This window comes from Homo sapiens, chromosome 18, assembly GCF_000001405.40.
Source record: "Homo sapiens chromosome 18, GRCh38.p14 Primary Assembly".
In the NCBI taxonomy this organism is placed as follows: Eukaryota; Metazoa; Chordata; class Mammalia; order Primates; family Hominidae; genus Homo; species Homo sapiens.
Window position 1 is genome coordinate 4225976 of NC_000018.10, and position 19415 is coordinate 4245390.

General features: G+C 34.8%; 1 protein-coding gene across 11 annotated transcripts in view, besides 1 other annotated feature; it reads right to left on the minus strand.

Annotated features, from left to right (window-relative positions):
* DLGAP1 (DLG associated protein 1) overlaps window positions 1–19415 on the minus strand; it is a 959276-nt gene that overhangs the window by 729944 nt on the left and 209917 nt on the right. The window lies entirely within an intron of this gene.
* Window positions 7424–8341: an enhancer, noted in NCBI's record as "OCT4-NANOG hESC enhancer chr18:4233399-4234316 (GRCh37/hg19 assembly coordinates)". NCBI's record gives its function as "activates a minimal SCP1, AML or CMV promoter by ChIP-STARR-seq in primed H9 embryonic stem cells {active_cell/tissue: H9 hESC(primed)}" and the evidence as "EXISTENCE:reporter gene assay evidence [ECO:0000049][PMID:30033119]".

Consider the following 19415-nt stretch of genomic DNA (forward strand, 5'->3'; position numbering starts at 1 on the left):
AAGACTACAAAATATTTAATAATAAAACTCCCAAATGTCAAGATTAAAGAAAGAGTCCTAAAAGCAGCAAGAGAAAGGAACCAAATAACATACAATGAAACTCCGATGCACCTGGCAGCAGACTTTTCAGTGGAAACCTTATAGGCCAGGAGAGAGTGGCCTTATATATATACTGTGCTGAAGGAGAAAAAAACCATTGATCTTAGAATAGGATATCCAGCAAAAATATTCTTTGAACATGAAGGAGAAATAAAGACATTTCAAGACCAACAGAAAAGCTGAAATATTTCATCAACACCAGACCTGTCCTATAAGAAAAGCTAAAGAGAGTTCTTCAGTCTAAAAGAAAAGGACTTTAATGACCAATATCTGAAGGTATAAAAATCAATGGTAACGGTAAATGCACAGGAAAACAAAATATAATAACATTGTAACTGTGGTGGGTAAACTTTTCATATCTTGAGTAGAAAGATTAAAAGATAATCTGATTAAAAATAATAACTACAAAAACTTTTCAAGGCATAGGTGGTATAATAAGATATAAATAGAAATAACAAAAAGTTAAAAAGTGTGGGGACAAAGTTAAAGTATAGAGTTTTTATTAGTTTTCTCTTTGCTTGTTAATTTGTTTATATAATCAGTGTTAAGACATTATCTGTTTAAACTAGTGTATTATAAGATATTATTTGCAAGACTCATGGTAAACTCAAAAAAAAAAAAAAACAGTGTATACACAAAAAAATAGAAAGCAATAAATGAAAACAGACCACAAGAGAAAATGACCTTCACTAAAAGGAAGCCAGGAAGGAAGAAAAGAAGGAAAAGAAGACCACAAAACAACCAGAAAACAAGTAACAAAATCACAAGAATAAGTCCTTACTTGTCAGTAATACCATTGAATGTAAATGGACTAAACTCTCCCATCAAAAGACATAGAGTGACTGAATAGATAAAATTTTTTAAAAAAAGACTTGTTGCCTACAAGAAGGGCACTTCACCTATAAAGAAATATATACACTGAAAATAAAAGGGATGGAAAAAGATAATCCATGCAAATGGAAACCAAAAAAGAGCACGGTAGCTATACTTACATCATAATAGATTTCAGAACAAAAACTATAAAAAAGAGAAAAATAAGGTCATTATATAATGATAACGGGGTCAATTCAATAAGAGGATATAACAATTGTAAATATATATGCACCCAACATTAGAACACCCTGATATTTAAAGCAAATGTTAGACTTAAAGAGAGAGGTAGACCCCTATACATTAATAGAAGAAGACTTTAGCACCCCACTTTCAGCCTTGGACAGATGACCCAGACAGAAAAATCAACAAAACATTGGACTTAATCTGCACCTAGACCAAATGGACCTAATAGATATTTACAGAACATTTCATCCAACGGCTGCAGAATACACATTCTTCTCCACAGCACATGAATCATTCTCTAAAACAAACCATATGTTTGGCCAGAAAACTAGTCTTAAGACATTAAAAAAATTGAAATATATCGAACATCTTCTCAGACCACAATGTAATAAAACTAGAAATCAATAATGAGAAATTTTTAAAACTATGCAAACACATGGAAATTAAATAATATGCCCCCAAATGATTAGTAAGTGGGTGAAAAAATTAAGAGTGCAATTAAAAAATTTCTTGAAACAAATGATAATGGAAACACAATATACAAAACCTATGGGATACAGCAAAAGCAGTACTAAGAGGACATTTTGTAACTATAAGCGCCTCCACCAAAAATGTAGAAAAACTTCAAATAAAAAAAAAAACTAATGGTGCATCTTAAAGAATCAGACAAGCAAGAGCAAACCAAACCCAAAATTATTAAAGAAAAAGTAATAATAAAGGTTAGAGCAAAAATTAATGAAAATGAAATGAAGAAAACAATACAAAAGATGACTAAAATGAAAAGTTTGTTTTTAAAAAGATAAACAAAATTGAGAAAACTCTTGCCAGACTAACAAAATACAGAGAGAGAAGACCCAAATAAATAAAATTAGAAATGGAAAAGGAGACTTTCAACCCAATACCACTGAAATTCAAATGATCATTAGAGGCTACTATGAGTAACTGTCAGGCAATAAATTAGAAAAACTAGAAGAAATGAAAAAAAAAATGCCTAGTGAGATGAAGCCTACCAAGATTGAGCCACGAAAAAATCCAAAACCTGAATGGACAAATAAGAAGTAACCAGATCAAAGCTACCATAAACAGTATCCTAGCAAAGATAAGCCTGGGACCTGATGGCTTCACTGCTGAATGTTACCAAACATTTAAACATCCTACTCAAACTGTTCTAAAAAACAGAGGAGGAGGGAATACTTCCAACCTCATTCTATGAGATCAGTATTGTCCTGATACCAAAACAAGACGAAGACACATCAAGAAAAAGAAAACTACAGGCCAATATCCCTGATGAACATGGATCAGAAATCCTCAACAAAATACTAGCAAACTGAATCCAACAACACATTAAAAACATCATCCATCACGGCCAAGTGAGATTTATCCCAGGAATACAGAGATGGTTCAACATATGCAAATCCATCAACACATCATATCAACAGAATGAAGGATAACAACCATGTGATCATTTCAACTGATGCTGAAAAATCATTTGATAAAACTTAACATTGTTTCATGATAAAAACCCTAAAAAAACTGGGTATAGAAGGAAAACACCAGATAAAAGTCAATAAAAGTCAATATATGCAGATCCACAGCTAATGTCATATGGAATGGAGAAAAACTGAAAGCCTAGCCTCTAAGATCTGGTAAGCAACAAGCATGTACACTTTCAGCACTTTTATTCAACATAATACTGGAATTCCTAGCTAGGGCAGTCAACAAAAAAAATTTTAAAAAAAGGGCATCCAAACTGGAAAAGAAGATGTCAAATTATCCTTGTTTGCAAATTATGTAATCTTATATTTGGAAAAACCTAAGGACTCCACAAAAATTATTTGATAAACAAATTCAATAAAGTTGAAGGATACAAAATCAACATAAAGCATCAGTAGCATTTATATATGCCAACAGCAATCAACCTGAAATAGAAATCAAGAAAATAATTCCACTGATAATTGCTACACATAAAATTAAATACCTAGAAATTAACTTAACCAAAGAAGCGAAAGATCTATAATGAAAACTATGAAACATTGATGAAAGAAATTAGAGGACACAAAAATGGAAAGACATTCTATGTTTATAGATTGGAAGAATAAATACTCAAAATGTCCATACTACTTACAACAATCTACAGATGGAATACAATCTCTATCAAAATACTCATGAAATTCTTCACAGAAATAGAGAAACAATCTTAAAATTTATATGGAACCAAAAAAGACCCAGAATAGCCAAAGCTATCCTGAGCAAAAGGAACAAAACTGGAAGACTAGCATTATCTGACTTCAAATTATACTGCAGAGCTATAGTAACCAAAACAGCATGACACTGGCATAAAAACAGACACATAGACCAATGGAACAAAATAGAGGACCTAGAAACAAATTCATACATCGACAGTGAACTCATTATCAACAAAGATTCCAGGAACATATTGGAGAAATGACAGTCTCTTCAATAAATGGTGCTAGGAGAACTGGACATCCATATGAAGGAGAATGAGTCTAGACCCTTGTCTCTTGCCATATTAAGAAAAGCAAAATGGACTAAATACTTAAATCTAAGTCATCATATTATGAAACTACTACAAGAAAACATGGGGAAGCTCAATTTGAGTTAATATACCAAAAGCACAGGCAACCAAAGCCAAAGTGGACAGATGGGATTACATCAATTTAAAAGTTCCTGCACAGCAAAGGGAACAATCAACAAAGTGAAGACATAAACCCACAGAAAATGTTTGCAAACTGCCCATCTGAGAAGAGATTAATGACCAGAATATATAAGGAGCTCAAACAACTCCATAGGAAGAAAGTCTAATAATGCAACTAAAAATGGGCAAAATATCTGAATAGACATTTCTCAAAAGAAGACATACAAATAACAAACGTATATGAAAAGGTGGTCACCATCATTGATCATCTATGAAATGCAAATTAAAACTACAATGCTATAGCACCCCAGTTAAAATGGCTTTTATCTAAAAGACAGACAATAACAAATGCAGATGAGGATGTGGAGAAAAGGGAACCCTCATACACTGTTGGTAGCAATGTAAATTAGTACAACCACAATGGAAAACAGTTTGCCAGTTTCTCCAAATCTAAAAATAGAGCTATTATATGACCCAGCAATCTCACTGCTAGATATATTATGCAAAGAAAGTGAATTCGTATTATCGAAGAGATATCTGCACTCTGCACTCCCGTGTTTACTGCAGCACTGTTCACAATAGACAAATTTTGGAAACAACCTCAGTGTCCATCAACAGATGAATGAAGAAAATGTGGTATATAAATACAATGGAGTACTGTTAGCCATAAAAAATGAGATCTTGTCATTTGCAACAACATAGATGGAACTGGAGGTCATTATGTTAAGTAAAATATCCTGGCACAAAAAGACAAACTTCACATGTTCTCACTTATTTGTAGGAGCTAAAATTAAAACACTTGAGCTCATGGAGATAGAAAATAGAATGATGGTTGTCAGATGCTGGGAAGTGGAAGGTGGGGAGGAAATGGGGATGGTTAATGGGTACATAAATAGAAAGAATGACTAAGATCTAGTATGTGACCGCAAAACAGGGTGACTACAGTCAATAATAATTGTACATTTTAAGATAACTTAAAAAGTATGATTGGATGGTTTGTAACACAAAGGATAAATGCTTGAGGTGATGGATACCCCACTTACCCTGATGTGATTATTACTCATTGCATGCCTCTATCAAAATATGTCATGTATGCCATAAATAGATACACCTACTACATACTCCAAAATTAAAAATAAATAATTTGAAATAAAACAAACAAACAAAAAACCTAAAAAGCAGCGCTGTGGTAGCTGTCCGTGGTACTTGTCCACAGTCCTGAATAGGAATCCACTTTGGTTTGTTTCAATACTTGCTCAAATTTATACAAATTAATTTCAAGATTACCTACCAGGTAGTTTTTTTCCTTCTTATTTATTGTCAGAAATATTATCTCTTGAGAAGAAATAAATGTCATATTCAGGAATATTATAATTATTCAACTTATATAAATATTTACATGAAATCTCAAACACGCATAAATTTTTCCTTATATTTAAGCATATTTAAAATATGACCTGGAAAGACAAAATGCTTGCTGCCAATAAAGCATTTTCTTATGGTGTTTGCTCTCCATTAGCCCCCTTTCCAAAATCAATTTTCATACTTCTCTGCCCTGCTCTGGAAGCCTGGGTGGCTGATCTCTAGGACAGCCTGCCAAGCTAGCTGGGTTTTGATTGGATTTTGCCTGTGGGAAGTAATGGCAGTAAAGCAAGAGATTATCAGATAGGCTGAGAGAGAAACTGGGGTATTTCCTCCCTGCACCTTCACTGCTTTGGCAAAATTACTGTGAAGCAATTAGATTTTTAAAGACTACCACTCCCACTGTGTGATCTCTCTGTTAGAGCTCTAGCCCTCCCTGGGGCTTGCTTCTTCCTTTGTTTTCAGTTCTATTTTTTTTTTAATAACTCATTCCTACCATTTCTATTCTCTGGATCCTCCCATATCCTCTATTTCTTTCCTTAGTAAACAAATTCTTTATTTTAAAAACTTTCTTCATTTAAATCATCTGAGTAAATCCTCTTTCCTTCCAGGACAATGAATGATTCAGAAGGTGTTTAAATCAAAGCTAATGTATCTAATTGAGAGGAAAGAATATTCATAGAGAAGAAATGAACATTAAATGTCTACAAGATGCACACATTAGTAGGGAATATGCTATTGACACTAAGAATGAAATTCTGTGGCTATTGGTCGATGTGCAATCCCTAATAGGTTAAGCCCATTGTGTATTAATAATAAGTATTAATACATAGTTGTTCAGTTCATGTAGAACTGAATAAATTGAATAATAACTATTTCATAATTATTTGGAGTTTACTAAGAGGTGAGCTTGAAGTTTAAAGGTAAGGTATTATTAAATCACGGATTCATTTTGTCACATTTACACCTATTAATTTTACAAAGAGAAAACAATGAGCATAAAACCTACAAACTATCCCAAGAATTCCCGCCATCCAACAAAGAAACAGATGTTGGTGGTCAGAAAATGTAATGTTCATTATAGCAAAAAATTATGTGATCTCTTATTCTATTGAGGGGTCCTTAAATTTTTTTTTAAAATCACATTTGACAGAAGCTTAACTTGAATTTAAATGTGGCTAAAGGTATTCTTCTTTACATAGGAGAGAAATTAGTCAGAAGTCAGTGCACACTGGAGAGAAATTGTGAGAAATTATAAATGGTTAGACTTGTTTTCTCGATAATGAACTTTTTGCAACTAAACAGCACCTTGAAATAGTCTAATGGCTGATGTAATGAATGTGTCATTTTATGAATGAAGGTCTTAAAATTATAAAAGTGCAAGAGAATTTATAAGACAATGTTGTTGTAATGTAAAAGCCATTTTTTTGCAGAAAGAAGTGCAAGAGCCTAAAATTTACTATCAACTTTAAAATCAGACATTAAGAACAAGGAAACAAAGCTCCAGCATAACAAATGTAAGAAATTTTACACTATCTGGTTTGTGGACCTCTGGAATGTAACTCAATCCATGGTCAAGGAAAAATGCACTAGCTCCTCTCATATGGGACTTAGGGCAGCAGAAGGGACCTCACCGCATGAAAGCTAGCTTTCCCTGGAGCAAGCAACTCAAGAGACCAAGGTGAAACCGCCAGCACCTTTTGTGACCTAGCCTTAGAAACCACAGACCCTCACTTCTGCAGAAATCTTGTACACAGGTCAGCTCTCAAAGGAAACCACACAAGTGTGGGAACACAGAAGTCAAGATTATAGGGACCACCTTGAAGCTTAGCTACTGAGTAATGAGGAGAATCATGACTGCTCATGAATTTGTTAGTTTTAAAATGTTTTATTTTAAAATTATTTTAGATTTATAAAAGGTTGAAAAATTGGCACAGTCTCCCATACCTTTCATCCATCTTCCCCTCATGTTAACATTCTACATGATCAAATCACAATGATCAAAAACTAGGAAATGCTGGTACGGAGTTATGACCTAAACTATAGATTTTACTTATTTCCCCAGTATTCCCACTTATGTTCTATCCCTGGCCCCGATCTAAGCCAGAAAACAGATTGAAGTTTGTTATTGTGTCTCCTTAGTCTCTTCTAATCTGTGGCAATTCCTTAGTATTTCCTTGTCTTTCATGACCTTAAAAATTGTACATTTTAAAGCTTACTGGTCAGATGTTTTGCATAAGGTCTTTCAGTTTGAGATTGTCTGATATTTTTCTCACTAATAGGCTGGAGTTATGGATTTAGGGGGAGATTACCTCAGAGGTGAGGTGCCTTCTCATCACATAATATCACAGGGTACATTATATCAACATGATTTATCACTGTTATTGTTAACCTCGGCCTGGTTACGATGTTGTATGCTGGCTCTCTCTACTGTAAAGTTACTGTTTCTCCTTTTCCATGCTTTATTTGTTAGAAGGAAGTCATTAAGTTTGGCCAACACTCAAAGGGAAGGGAATTAAGCTTCACCTCCTGGAGGGAGTATTATCAAGGAATATGCGCATATGTTAAAACCCCCTCAGAGATCAATTAGTTTTTAATTGGAGATAAAAGATACTTTTTGATGGAGATAGAAAGCTGTATAGGAAACAGATAACATCACAGGGGATCTGAGAAAGTATTTCAACTTTATTTTGATTATTCACAGTCCATTACCATTTCTTTATTCCTATACTTATTTTAATACAAATAAACATAATACAAATGTATTCTATTTTCCTCCTGTCATGCTATACTACATCATACGTTTTTAAAATATTTTGAGAAGCATGATTTCAATATTTAAATATCTTAATTTTCACTTCTGACTCAGTTTGAGCAAAATTCCAGTCATCTATAAAAAATGACACCAAAGAACTGTCCTCCAAACACAAGCCATGTAAAGTTTCTTTTTTGCTATTTTTTTTTTTTTTTTAGTTTCTTGGATGGAAGGTCAAATAGACATTAACTATAATGGTCCCTAATGATTACTAATAATGGTACCAAGAACATCTTGACAAAGTACTGGAGAGGTTCCCAGATAGCATATTTTTAAGACAGAAAATTATGTTAGTTGCACTAAAACTCAATTTTAATTAGCCATGACACTTACATACACTTTAAAGCTGATGAAGTGCTCTTCAGACTAACAAGTCTTAATAAGCTCTGTTTAAATTTAATTTCTATTTCCATTTGACAGTAACCAAGCAAAACTTGTGATTCACTATGATGATAACACAGCAGGGTTCAAGTGCTGTACATTTTCAATATGTTCTTAGTTATGCACCCAGCCAATTTAATTTCAAATGTATAAACTCTTCTACCCTTCCTTCTGAGAACAATAATTTACTTTGAAAGATTTCTTTGGATTTTTAACTTTTATAGAAAGAATATATTAAATGGAAAATATTTTATATAATACAGGCCTTTTGTTCTTCAAATTATAAAAACAATAACACTTCTTTGAATCATATTTTAGCAAATATATACCACTAGAAGAATGACAGGTGAACAAATTTAGTGCCACTCAGATAACTGTAGTAATTATATACTATGTCAACTCTCTACAAGTCTCAGCATCAACTCTCACTACACCCATTTCAACTCACGGCAATTTGGATAGATGCTGACGTTCTTTTTTTCCTGTTTTACTTATTCACGAAAACAAATCTAAAAGAATAGTTTAAAAGAAGTAAAAGAAAGGCATGTCATAAAAAAAGGATGTGCACGTGAACCCTGAACTTTGTGTTTAAATCTTCCTTCCTTCCTCCCCTCCCTTGTTCTCCCCTTCTCTTTCTTGATATGGGAAGAAAAAGAAAATTTCAGAGATGACTTTACTTCATTTGTGAAGCTTCCTGACTTCTGCCCAGTCAGGGTTGTTCCCTTTTCTGAGCTTACCCACAATATTTTTGTCTCTCTTCGAACACCCTACTCAAACCTGTTTTCCAGCTTATTGGAAGCACATATTCTTCTGTCCCTTGGTGAAGCACTCCTTCAAATTAGAAGAATGACACATTCATTTTGTACCCTCACGGGCCCACCACATAGTGGACACCCATTAACCACTTATTAAGTTGAATTTTAGAAAAATTGTTTGATTTTAAAAATTCAAAAAGTGCATATATTCAATGGAGAAAACTGGGGAAGCACTGAGCTTGCTGCACTCCCTCCCCTCAAATGTGAGGGGTAACTGGGGGCCAGAGGAGACATCGTGAGAGTAACATCATATGAACCACTTGGGAATTGCTCATGTTGGCCTGTAAAATAGCAGTTACTCTGCAAATCAAGCTATAATCCATGAAATTATCTAAGCTTTGTTTGAACCTGCTGTTTTTTTAATTCCTAGCACCATTTGGAATAATGTGTTACATAAAAATTTCTTTGTTCATTTGTTTTTGCCAGCACTGCTTAAATGAACACTTTCTCTTATTTGATTGAAAATACAACCCATTTTCAGTGTTTTGAGAAATAAAAGATAAACCCAAGTTATGTCTGTCAACATGGTTTACAGTTTTATAAATTTCAATTTCAATGTCTTTTTTTTTTTTTTTTTTTTTTTTGAGACGGAGTCTCACTCTGTTGCCCATGCTGGAGTGCAGTGGCATGATCTTGGCTCACTGCAACCTCCGCCTCCCGGGTTCAAGCAATTCTCCTGCCTCAGCCTCCCTAGTAGCTGGGATTGCAGGCATGCGCCACCATGCCTGGCTAATTTTTGTATTTTTAGTAGAGACGGGGTTTGGCCAAGTTGGCCAGGCTGGTCTCTAATGCCTGACCTCAGGTGATCCGCCTGCCTTAGCCTTCCAAAGTGCTGGGATTACAGGCATGAGCCACCATGCCTGGCCTCAATGTTTTTTCTCTATCTTCATGTAGCAGGAACTTTAGGACCAGATTGCCTGGGTTCAAATCTTGCCTCAGCCACTTAGTTTTCTGACTTGGGCAAGCCATTTAAAGCCTCTGATCCTTGTTAACTTTATCTGTAAAATGAGGATAAAATAATATTACCTGCCTCATAGGATTTTGTGAGGTTTCAATCAGTAAGTACATGAAAATGAACTCCCACATGGATTACATACAGTAAGGACTAAAGCAGTGTTGGACATAATTGTAATGATTATCAGTAGAAGTGCCATAATTCCTTTAGTCATTTAACATTCCTTTCGCTGGGTCTTCATCAAGTCCATTATGTCTCTTGGAAGGATAGTGTGCAAACTGCACCTAGTAAATGTGCCACTGAAGCACGGTGTGGTAGAAGGAGATTGCAATCATTTTCCTTGTGCTTTTACACCTCTTCCTCACAACGCTTAGGAATTTGTTCACTTATGTGCCACTGCCTTATACTGAACCAATATCTTCAAACATCAGTCAAAAGTGACACCCTAATTTACAAGCTGCACTTTATAGCTTAGACTCTTTAAGTTTTATAAATATTTTTTTCCCTCCCTTAAATGAGTTATCTTAATGCTTTAATGCAATGTTGTTTATTCCCCATGTTGAGCTACTTTCACTGATATTTATCTTAAGCGAGGTGGCTTCTACTAGATAAAATAAAATAATAACTGCGCAATTGTCTTTTCTAGCTGATTTACAAACATGTAAGGCCATGTCTCTACCAGTCGCCAGAATATTGAATAACCAATTGTTTGCATATAGGTCTTCTATTCTTATTCCTTCATTTTAATTTAGCAAACATTTATTGAGCAGTTAAAGAGATGTGCTTCGTGGCACAATTTAGCATGGGAAAAACATATAAACAGTTCTCCTACCCTTGAAAACTAAATAAATGAGTCACGTCTCCCCTGCTCCTTCTGGTTCAGGCATATTCACCCTGACATAGAACATTAGGGGTTTAGTCAAGACTGTGCTTTCTCCACTCTTCTCAGAGTTCACTGTCTGAAGCTATCGAGTAGCTCAGTGTTAGGACAGAGGGAAGTCGGGAAATGACTGTGTGTGCCTTTCTGTTACTAATCCTGAACTCGCCAATTAATTACCACGCTATCTGAAGCTTCGGTCCTTGCCTATTTGTGATCTGAAGGACAGGATACACCTGTAGATCCTGCACTGGAAACTCTAAATTTATACTTGTTGTTGTTTGCTAGTAATATTCATTCCCTTTCTCAGCAGTATACCTAGTTCTTTTTGGGGAATTTCCCTTCCTCCAGTGGGCGCAGTCTTGGTATGATGATAAGTCCTAGAAGCTAACGGAGACCCTGAAGCCTCCTTTTGTTAGGATTTTCAACTGAGTGGAGAAATGAAAGACAGAAAAAACGGTCAGGGTTAATGCCTTGATTCTGGGGAAGGACGGGGGTTGAGTGGTTCAGCCACACTGTTCCTGCCACCCACAGCTCTGGAAAGTCCAGGTTCCTGCCTTTTCTGAGACTGACTCTGCGGCCCTCTCTTCAAATTTGTTAGTTTCCTCAAGATCCTTCTAATACATTCTTGCTTGCTTATGTTATCCAGAGTTAGTTTCTTTTTTCAGCAAGAGGCCCTAAAAGACTCCATTTATAAAGAAAAAAAAAAAGGAAGCAATTTTTGCCTGAGTTATGAGTAGATTAAATTCAATATGTACAAATGGCTCCAGTGACAGCGGGAATTATTGAACTTAAACTAAGTTATGTTAACATGAATCACTTTGTAATTATTTCATATCACTGATCATGACTACTGCCAAATGAGTTATGAGTTGTAAAGCTATAATAAAAATATTATGATGCAATATTATCATACATGCCAAGTGAAACATTCCGTTAAATCTCTTACCTGAAGAAAAATCTGTAGATGCCATATGCCATTTAAAGTATTTCAGGTATAGCATCCTGGTTGAGCATCCCAAATTCAAAAATCTGAAATCCATAATGCTCCAGTAAGCATTTCTTTTAAGCATCCTGTTGGTGCCCAAAATGTTTTGGATTTTGGAGCATTTTAGATGTCAGATTTTTGGATTTGGGATGCTCAATTTGTATTTCTATTTGTACAAGGTAGGCTTCCTCTCTGTTTCATCAATTATAAAAGATAATGCTATTTTCTTCAAAATATTGTGAGTTAAATGAGATGGTATCTGTAAACGTTCTTAGAAGAACTTCTGTGAATTATGACCCCAATCTAAATAGACATTCCAAACTATTTTCTACTGAAAACCCAAGGTCAGGTTTATATCCCTGATACATAGAATAAAAAAGCCTGATATCTGAAGTTACTTAGATCATCAGAAAGCATAAAGCTAGCTTTTTAATTTAAGTCAATTTGACAACTTCTTGACAACATTTTGATGAATTGTGTTCTCCTTTAATTAAATAGAAGCAGAAAAGACGTCTCAGTGTTGAAATTTTTTAACTATGTAAATACACCGTAGAAGTTTTGAGAAATAATACCTCTTTTTCACTCTCGATTTTTGGTATCCTTCCTTCAAAAAACTTACTCAGTAACTACTTGCTGAGAAGTTTTATTCAGTAAATATGAACATGATGATACAAGATAATGAGGGATTATATATGTATAGCAGCACTATTAATTCTAATCAAAATATGTAACTACCCTTTCAGGTTACTGAAAGCAAATGAGCTGGCAATAGGAGCTGCTTTCATATTATTAGAAATGGGTGCCCTTTAGGCAAAGATCTCTCCAAGAGTAATCTGTGGACCACCTGCATCCAAATTACTTGGAATTACTTTTCAATAAGGTGAATTTGAAAAATGCCCCTCTCCACCCCAAATTATTGAATTATAATGTCTGAAGAAGTAGAATACAGGAAAAATCATCAATAAAAACTTTTCACATAATTTGCATGAACATCAAAATTTGAGAACTATAACTCAGATCATCTGTGGTAGACTTTATCACTGAGTAGGCAATAGTCAAAGTGGGCCACTATGTGATGCTGGGAGTGTTGTGCAGTGCACAACTTCAGAGAGTGCTGTTGGTATCACAGTCTATACCGTACAGCAGCTCTGATTGCAAGATTTAATTCATATCTTATGGTTGCCAAGGAGAAGTTACCAAAATAGCAACTGAGAGAATCTATCACATTTGCACTTTTCAAATCTTCAGCTTTACAATGTCATCAAGCATGAGATGTGTGAAGGACTGTGTTTTGATCTATCTCCTAAATCCTAAAGGGATAATTGACATCATTTAAAAAAAATTAGTTTTTTTCATCATTTATTTGATGAATTCTAGGTTTTTTAAACAAAGGAACTGAAGAAAGAAGAAAATCTTTTGTTTAGAAGTTTTGGGTCATTAAAGTATTGAATAAGCAATTTTACCTGCTGAGAATGATCAGCTTTTAGTCTGCAGTTTTTTAGTTATGTACTCAGAAGGTCCCTAAATAAAAAGAAAACTATAAAAATTGATTTCTTCTTTTTTTCGTATGGAAGTGGTACCAAATACTGCTTTAAAAAATAGTCTCACATTATAAAAATTAGCCCACATTCATGTGATATTCAGGGTAAGTGGCTCTGGAGCCACAACTAAATTGTAGCATCTCAACACCCGTTTCCTCAAATGAGATGCTAAACAAAGTGTCTTCGATTTAAAATCAAACTATACAGGCCTCCTTAGTTGCCTGTGTGTTGATGGATATTTTCAGAAACAGAATCTAAAATAATATTTATTTGGAAGGTTTACAAAGAGAGATTACTACTTTTCTCAGTGCAGATTGTCCAAGTTGGTCCAACTTCAAGAGTATTTTTCAATCTGGATATGAGTCTGCAAATCCACATTGAATCCATTAGGACCTACTTAATATAATTTCCTCCCCATATCTTTTATCCTCCTTTTCCATGCCCTGTTTGTTTATTTAAACCTCTTTTTTCATCTTCTTAGTCTTTCAAGCATGTCAAGTTAGTCCTCCAAAGAGACATTTCCTTTGTCTTGTAATTTACTTGTTGTGTTAGGAATTGTCAATTAACCAAATAGTCCTTTACTGAAATGCAAACTGGTTTTCAGATTCAAATAGTTGTTTTTAATAGGCCAGGAAATCCCAGTGAATAATTACTGTTTACATAGTTTCCACAGTGTTTATATGCATTTTTTAAATTTAAAAAAATGTGAAGAATTTTCTTACTTGTAGTTTTCCTTATAGCCTTGATAATGCATCTTATTACATCTATATTTATGCATTAAAATCTAGTAGGTATAATTTATCAGTAAGAATGACCACTATAATGCCTTAACTTTATTTACCAAATACACTGCTAGAGGAAAATACAATCAAAATAAAGATATTAGAAAGAAAATGAGAAAAAAGAAGATGACATAGATTCCTAAGAAAGTAAGTCTTTTAATAGGTTTCTGGAACATCAATATCAGACTAATTATAATCTCTTGAAATCAGATTTTCTGGTGAAAGTAGAACTTATGTAAGACCAGAATGAAAATGTCAAAAAAGAGATTAAACTCTGCATCAGTTTTCTTTTCCTATACATAGATAACTATGAAAATGAAACAAATAGAATAAAAATCATAAGTGTCCTAACATAATTCACATAATCAGAGCCTTTTGGATAATTCCAGTTATGATCCATAGAAATAATTTCTTCTTTTCTGATGTGAACTGAGTTGTGAGAGCACTGAAATTTGGAAAGTATTTTGTTACAAATTGGCAAAAGTTTCAAATCTCTTCCAATGCATGCTGTTGAAAAGATCAACAAATGATGGGCTTCTCAAAAGTTCCATGTGGTTACTATGCAATCATACGAACTTACACAATTTCATTTTGGCTAAATGATGATGGAAAACAAATATAGCACAAGATGTGCCCGCTCTTTCATGTCAGCATTCATAGGCCTATCATTCACTGTTACTTTACTCCCCAGTTTAATCGACGTACTGAGAACTAAAGGAGAAAAATGTTATCTTTTTCATTTCTTTTTTGGTTAACTTGAGCAATTCATTTTTGGTTTATTAAAAGCCAAAACAATAAGTTACCCAGGGCTTGAGTCACATCTTTTATCACTGCACAAAACTTGCCTGTGACTGGTTATGTCTGTTAGAATTTATGTGGATGAGACACGGCAATGTGTGATTGAACAAGTCCTCCTGGGGATTCCAATGCCCTGTGGTTCTTAAAACACTGATTGCTGAGGTCACTCCTAGAGTTCTTGATTCGGTAAGTCTGGAGTTAGGCCCCTCAGTTCGCATTTCTGACAAGTTCCCAGGTGATGCTGATGCTATTATCTGAGAAACACACTTCGCTTACAGCATTGATAAATGAACCAGTCTGTGAATTTTCATAGACTGCCTTTCATTTCCTGTCAGTTATGATAATGAAATCTCACTGTAAGTCCATAAAGTAACATCAAAGCTGTGTCAGCTATGAACACAACTCTTAGAAAAAAAATGGTCGCATATGAAATGCAAACATACGATAGAAATTACAGAGCACTTATTACAAAGAGATAAATCTTAGTTACATGGATGAAGGAGGAAAAGGAAATAATATACCATCATTCTGAAACAAATAGAAATGCAAAATCCAACAGCACTGGCTGGAGGATATGGGATGCCACCAATAAAAAGTATTTTAAGTATTTCTTTTACTTTTCTAAAAATTGTTTTTGTGGACTGCCATTAGATTCCTACACATTGGTGTTGTCCTGAATATTTTGGAAAGAAACTTAGGCAATACTTCCATTGACTATTGACAGGCCAATGATACTGTTCTAAGATTTTTTTCCTTATCATTAGTTTTCTAAACATTTTTAAATTTATTTTTAATTGATAATAAAAATTGTATATATTTATCATGTACCACATGTTGTTTTGAAATATACATACATTGTGGAAAGGGTAAATCAAGCTATCCCTTATAGTCATTTATCTGGGATGGTCATCTGCCATTATATAGAAAAATGATACATTATTTTGCTTCCATCATGAAAACCATCAGGCGCCAGACATATCTGCTTCTCAAAAGCAGTTCCCCTTCATCCTCAAAGCCCTCGACCTAGTAATGTATGATTCTGATTTTTTGTAGAATGTGTCTTTTCATTACAATAAAATACACTCCATTTCTTTGTTTTGGGAAGATTATAGCTTTCTCCCCAGGCTTTTTAGGGGACAAAGACTATTCTCCATATGACGAACCTATCAAGATTCATCTTGAAATATTTTATGCATTCTTTTTTTAATCCACTGGAATTAATTTTGTTCTTGGATCACCTTTTCAAGGACACAATCAGCTCTCGCAGCTGACTGCTCCAGTGGGTGCTAGAAAGTCCGCCCAGAATTCTGGCACATGGATCTGAAATGAAGGAGAACACAAGCAGCCAGGCATTAAGGAGGATTTGGGGTAAATCTGCTCTTGGAAATGCAAACTTAGGAAAAACTTTCCACTTCAAAAAAAGAGTCAGAACTTTCTTTGGGAAGTGGCAGAACAAAGGGACCTTGCATGCTCATTCAAAAATTCTTTTCAGAAACATTTGCACACCTGGGAGGAAGAAAGCGGGAAGGGCAGGCAGTGGCACTAGGAACCCGATACCTGGTGGGCCTGTGATCGCATGGGTAATACCCACCTGAGGGCTAGATCACACATGTAGCATACCTGTGAGGGCTAGATCATGCATGTAATACCCATGATGAGGGCTAGATTACAAATGCAGTACACATAAAGGTGAGATCATGCATGTAGTACCCATGTGAGGGCTAGATCACACACATAGTAACTCACAATGAGGGCAATTACACATGTAATACCCATGATGAGGGCTAGGTCACACATGTAGTACCCACGATGAGGGCTAGGTCACCCAAAGAGTACTCACTATGAGGGCTAGAGATGCACTGACACAAAGTGGCCATGGAGCAGTCCTCAGTGGCCCTCATCACACTGGTTTGGTGAGAAAGTGTCAGAAAGAAAGGGGAGAGTGCTCAGTTGACTCACCTGCCCTCTCACCGCTCTTAGATGGTGTGTTGTGAGGCTTGTGCCTTGTGCTGTAGTGTTTAGTAGAATCATTCTTGGACACCTAAAACACCAGTTTCTTGGAACACATTATTTAAAATCTTTCTAATTTCTAATTTCCCCATCTGTAAAATCAATGCAATAATAGTTCCTTAATAGTTCTTTTCGGTTAAAAAGTGCCTCTGCGGAGTACAGTGCCTGGAATATAACAAGTACTCCTTACGTAACCGAAACAAAACTCATAAGTCTGATTGCTATAATCTCTAAGGCATTTGGAGGTGGACTGACCACGGATGGGCACAGTCTGAGGACAGCCTTGTCCTCAGTTTTGCTTTTGTGGACTTCCTGCCAGATCCTCCCAAGGCTCTGCATTTCTGGGGCTTTATGAGAAGAGAACTCATCCCCTTGGCAAGAAGTATTCTTCATCAATGATCTCATCATATAACAAGTTATTTTGAGGCCACTTTATAGTACATGTGTTAGAGATTTCAGTAACTAACTCATGATGACACAGACAAATTTGAATACAAAACAAAACAATGTCACAGCAACGTGATCTTCCGTGATATCCTCATGTCCCATGATGTTTCTTTCTAAGAGCACTTACTTCAGTGATAAATATTATCATTTTGGGATATCTCCTTGGCATCAGAAATGTTTACTAATTTTGAAATAAGGAAAGTGGGATGTTTCAGTCAGGTGTGTAGTTCTGATTTTTGGAAAAAAATGAAACCCGCTTATCTTTTTTTTACCCTACACTGTGGCTGAAAGGTATACAATGTCAAAATGGCATTTAAAAATTAAGGTAGCTATATTTTGGAACATTTTATCCCTACCTTTGAAAATTCAAATTGTTCAGACCTTCAGAAAAATTAATAGTAATGCCACGAACACCTGGGTGCCCATGGTGTAACTTCATCGATTATTATTTTGCTTTCTTGCTCTTTTTTTTTCTGTACCATCTGAAGTTGTAGACATTGTGCATATCTTAAGAACTCATATATCCCACATAATCACAAGTCCATCAAAAATATCTCTTATCTAATACATAGTCCATTCTATCAAGATAATAATTTGAAATATATTTTCCTGGATAAGAGTGTCAGTAGGAAATCTGGACTAACAACGGTCACCTTCCCCCTTCAAGTCCTACGTAGGAGGGGAAGATGCTTAAGACAACCACACACAGATCAGATTACTGTGAATTTGTTAAGAATTTAACAAATGACTTTAGCTTTCCATTTACCAAAAATTACATTTAATATTTAATAACATCTTTTAATTTCTAGACTTTTTGAGATGTTTCTAGATTTCTGATAGTACCATAATATATTAAATTCACTCTTGAAAATTAAAAAAACTACCTAATTTACACAATTCACCTATTTACTCTTATAGAAATTCATGCGGTATATCTTTTGGAGTAAATACTGCGTTAGTTGCAACAGAGTAATGAGAACTATGAGTTGCCAAATCAGTGATGGGGGAAATGGCAATGAAAATAAAATAAATACTGCTGGTCATTCTTCGTTGATTCTATATCAAAGGTTGTTCCCCTCCCGAGCCCAAATATTTAAGAGACAATGGATCAGTTACATGATCTGTGTGTCATTTTCTTCAGCCATAAAATAGGTAGGATTATGTCACCATCAACATCACAAGGATATTAAAAGGCTAATGGATATAGGATGGAATTGCTTTTAGTTCATAGGTGCCGGGGCATAACACAAATCCAAACTGTATGCATCTCAGTGATATCCGCTATCATCCAGTGTAACGAAATGGTTCTTAGCCAAGTACTTAGAATAGCCTATCATATTAGAACTTTTCTCACAATGCAGCAAGTGTCTATTAGTACATTTTCTGAAGAGTTTGTAAGATTCTATAAACAGTTCTCCCTTATTCTTGTTATAAATATAGCAAGATTAAATCACAGGAAATTGCCATTTTATAGGTTAAAAGTGATCTTATATTAGCAATTTCACATTGTTCAACTTAGCAATTGTGATAGCTGTGGTCTGCTACGTTGTTAGCTGCTACTGGTATAACTCAGAACATTGCTCCAATATTCAAAGTGTATAAGCTTGTACATTTGCTTAGGAAAGTGCTCGGTACTTGACATTCAATTCATGAGGGGTATTATCAGTATAATAGTATTCTGTAAAATCCGAATATTTTCATATTAATTGCTACTGATGTTTCAATATTTTGTGCACAACTTTTCTTTCATCAGCATTATGAAAACATATATTGTGATAAGTTACAATTGTGACATAAAATCTGCAAAAGACATATGTACTTTTTTGGGAGCTT